The following is a 3,353-nucleotide window of genomic DNA, read 5'->3' on the forward strand; positions in this document are numbered from 1 at the left end:
TGCCTGTTTCAAAGTTGCTTCCACATTTTCACGCTATCTTTTAGTAGTATCCCATTCTGCTGGTACCAATTATCTGTATTAGTTCATTTTCACATTGTTATAAAGATAATACATGAGTCTGGGCAGTTTATAAACAAAAGAGGTTTTTAGTTGACTCACAGTTCCACATGGCTGGGGAGACCTCAGGAATCTTACAGTCATGGTGAAAGGCGAAGGAGAAGCAAGCACCTTCTTCATAAGGTGGCAGGAGAGAGAGTCCATGCAGGGGAAACTGCCACTTTTAAACCATCAGATCTATGACAACTTTTTCACTATCATGAGAACAGCATGGGGGAACTGTCCCCATGATCCAATCATCTCTCATTGAGTTCTTCCCTCGACACATGGGGATTACAATTTCAGATGATATTTGGGTGGGGACACAGAGCCAAGCCATATCACCTAGTAAACCAGGAAATATAGAGAAGCCAAGGGTGGATCATGTACCTTTAACTCAGAAAACTTGAGGGAATGGTGGTTGCATTCTGTGGCTGGGAAATTGAGTAGAAGAAATAAATTTTAGGAAGGAGACTTGTTTCTTTTGAACATGTTGACTGTGAGGCACTGAAGAAAAATTCAGGTAATGTTCAGACACAACCCTGTGAGTCATTGGACTCTTGGTGTCAGTCACCCATAATGGGAAGTGAAGTCTTTAATATCTAACTTTTATCAGCCCAAGATAAATCAAGGTTAGAATTGTTAAAATAGAAGAAAACAAATAAAATGACCAAAAAACAGCAAAAAAAAAAGCAAAACAAAAATCCTTGATAGCTTCCCAAACACTTTTTTCTTATAGTAAAAAAAAATCGTCTCTAGGTATTTTCATGTTTTCTGTTTTCCAGGAACTTGAAGGAAATATGGTTTCTAGAGTCTCTACTGCTAGTTTCTATTAAGCTTCAGATCATACAATAGCATGGAAATAGTTTAAATGCTGGATTATAACACTTTACTATAAAGGTTCCATTTGTACTTCCAGTTTATCTTATTTCACTTCTCTCTGTGGTGAAGCAAGAAGAAAGGGGGGTAATTAGTCAGAGACTGAAGTCTCTCGACTTCTCAATAAAATCCTGTCATTTTTAAATATGATTATATAAGATAGTTTGTCTGAGAACTAGTTATTAAATCACTCTTTTTTTTAATTAAACTTGAAGTTAAGATGATTGTATTCCTGAAATTTGTGTTTGACTTTGTGAGGATGGGTTAATAATACACTAAAAAAAACCTTCTCAAATCTCAGTGCTTAATAAAAGTTTCTCACTTAGTCTATATGTCTGAAGTGACTTGGCAGCAAAACATCTACTCATTGTAGTTATTTAGAGACCCAGGTTGATGGTGGCTCCTTCTATACATGTGCTTTCAGGGTCACTTCATCAGTGGGAAGGAAATGTAGTAAATCATATACTGGCTTTGAAGTCTTTCACGTGGACATGGCATATGTCACTTGCACTCAAATTTTATTAGCCAAAGCAAGTCACATAGTCGCAAAGATCAATCACATCCTGTGTCTAGAAATAGGGAGAATAGGTAATAGTTGGGGATTAGCAAAAATAACAACCACAGACATCTTATGCTGATAGCTCATACTTAAAGCATATATGCTCTTGTCGTAGAACATATAAATCTACCTCCCATAAAAAATAATTTTTGTAATAAGAGTGATTTCTTAATATTCTATTCCAATTGTATCTCTACTGTCAAATTGAGTGAGATTAAAAATATCTTGATAGCTTGATTCCAGTATCTAGCTACAAGGATTTTGGAGGGAAAGTGATATTCCTGGATTTTTATCAGTGTATTTTTACCACTAAATAGTCATTGCACCAAATGTTCTTTCATTTTATAGGCTAACTAGCTTCCAAATATAAAGCTCTGAATTAGTTACAGAGGTTGTAAAATCGGAGAACCTGGTTACTATTTACTGTCATATTGAACCAGAAAAATATATATATTTTTGTTTTAGAATGGCTGAGAATCTTATAATTGTTTCAAGATGTACAGATGCGAGTGAGAAGAGTGAGTAAAACATTGAGCTTGTGAAAGAAGGAAGATGAGTGAATTTCTCTTATTGGGCTTCTCTCCAGAAAGAGTCATCTGGCGAGTTGGCAAAGACAAAATCAAACAACCATGTGCCAGATGTGCACGGCTGTTGTTGGGCCATCTGCAGCTTGCTTTTATGCCATATGCCACTTTTACATTTGGTCGGCTGGGGTATCAGAGGCAAAATTCATGGGGCAATTGCTTTTGTATTATTCTTGTAAATTTAATCAGAAAAAAATTAATCGATAACCAGCTTTGCTAGGGAATGAATACAGAATACTTGATGAAGGAGATAGTACTGCCAGGATTGCTTAGATCCTAAATCAAGAGCTGGAAACAACCTTTGGTTACACTTTGAGAAAACAAATGACAAAGTGGTGCTATGATCCTGACTCTTGGATGCCCTTGCTAACTTCAGTCACCTCTGAGGCAATCTTTTTCTTTTTCCTTTTTTCCTTCTTAACTTGTTCCACTTTATCTTTCCTCTGATCTGTGGAAAGCAAGGCTACTATTCAAATAAAAACCTAGCCAATTATTTGCTTTCTATTGAAAATGGGCAGTGGTAGTGGTTTTATATTTCTGAATTATTGGGCCTACTTGGCATGGTATAACATAAGCAAAGAAAGATTGCTTTGTAATTTGAGTTCCATAGGCAATATAATAATACCACTGACAGGGTATGAGCAGATGAAAAATGGATTATAGTATGCTTAAACTTTATACCCAGAAAATCATTTCTTGATTTTTTACCAGATTTTGCTAAGGCTGTCAGTCATTATTGACCACATATTAATACGTTTGCTTTTTGCCAGTTTGGAATCTAGTTGAGGCTGAATTGCAGTTAATATTTTTCTGAATCAAAGCCTGGAGTTTTAATTAATCTAACAAATATCTATACTTCTTAATTGAAGTGGTCATGACATTCTGCTGTTTTCTGCTGCTGGTATTCTTATTTTGAATATAGCATGTTTATGCTCTGTAACAAACTGTGTATAAAACAACAGCATGCCTATAAAACCAGAGTGGCCTGTTCTTTTTAAAGATTTTGTGAATATTGCATTATTATGCTAAAGTTTACATAAAATAAGTAAGCCTAGGGGGCCTTAAAAAGGTTAAATAGTAGGTGTGAGGAAGATAAATTTATAGGAAGCAGCATGGAAAATATATTACGACCTATATTGCTAACTTAATGTTTTAGTTCTATTTTAGGGATCTTTCCTTTAAATATTTTAATAAATGTTCCTCGTAACTTAATTATTATGAAATGGCTACAGTTG

At 35.1% G+C, this 3,353-nt stretch overlaps 1 annotated feature.

The window, feature by feature from the left end:
• Nucleotides 1,394-3,104: an enhancer, noted in NCBI's record as "VISTA enhancer hs1738". NCBI's record gives its function as "enhancer in: limb[7/7]" and the evidence as "EXISTENCE:transgenic organism evidence [ECO:0001131][PMID:17130149]".

Source organism: Homo sapiens, chromosome 6 (assembly GCF_000001405.40).
Source record: "Homo sapiens chromosome 6, GRCh38.p14 Primary Assembly".
NCBI lineage: Eukaryota > Metazoa > Chordata > Mammalia > Primates > Hominidae > Homo > Homo sapiens.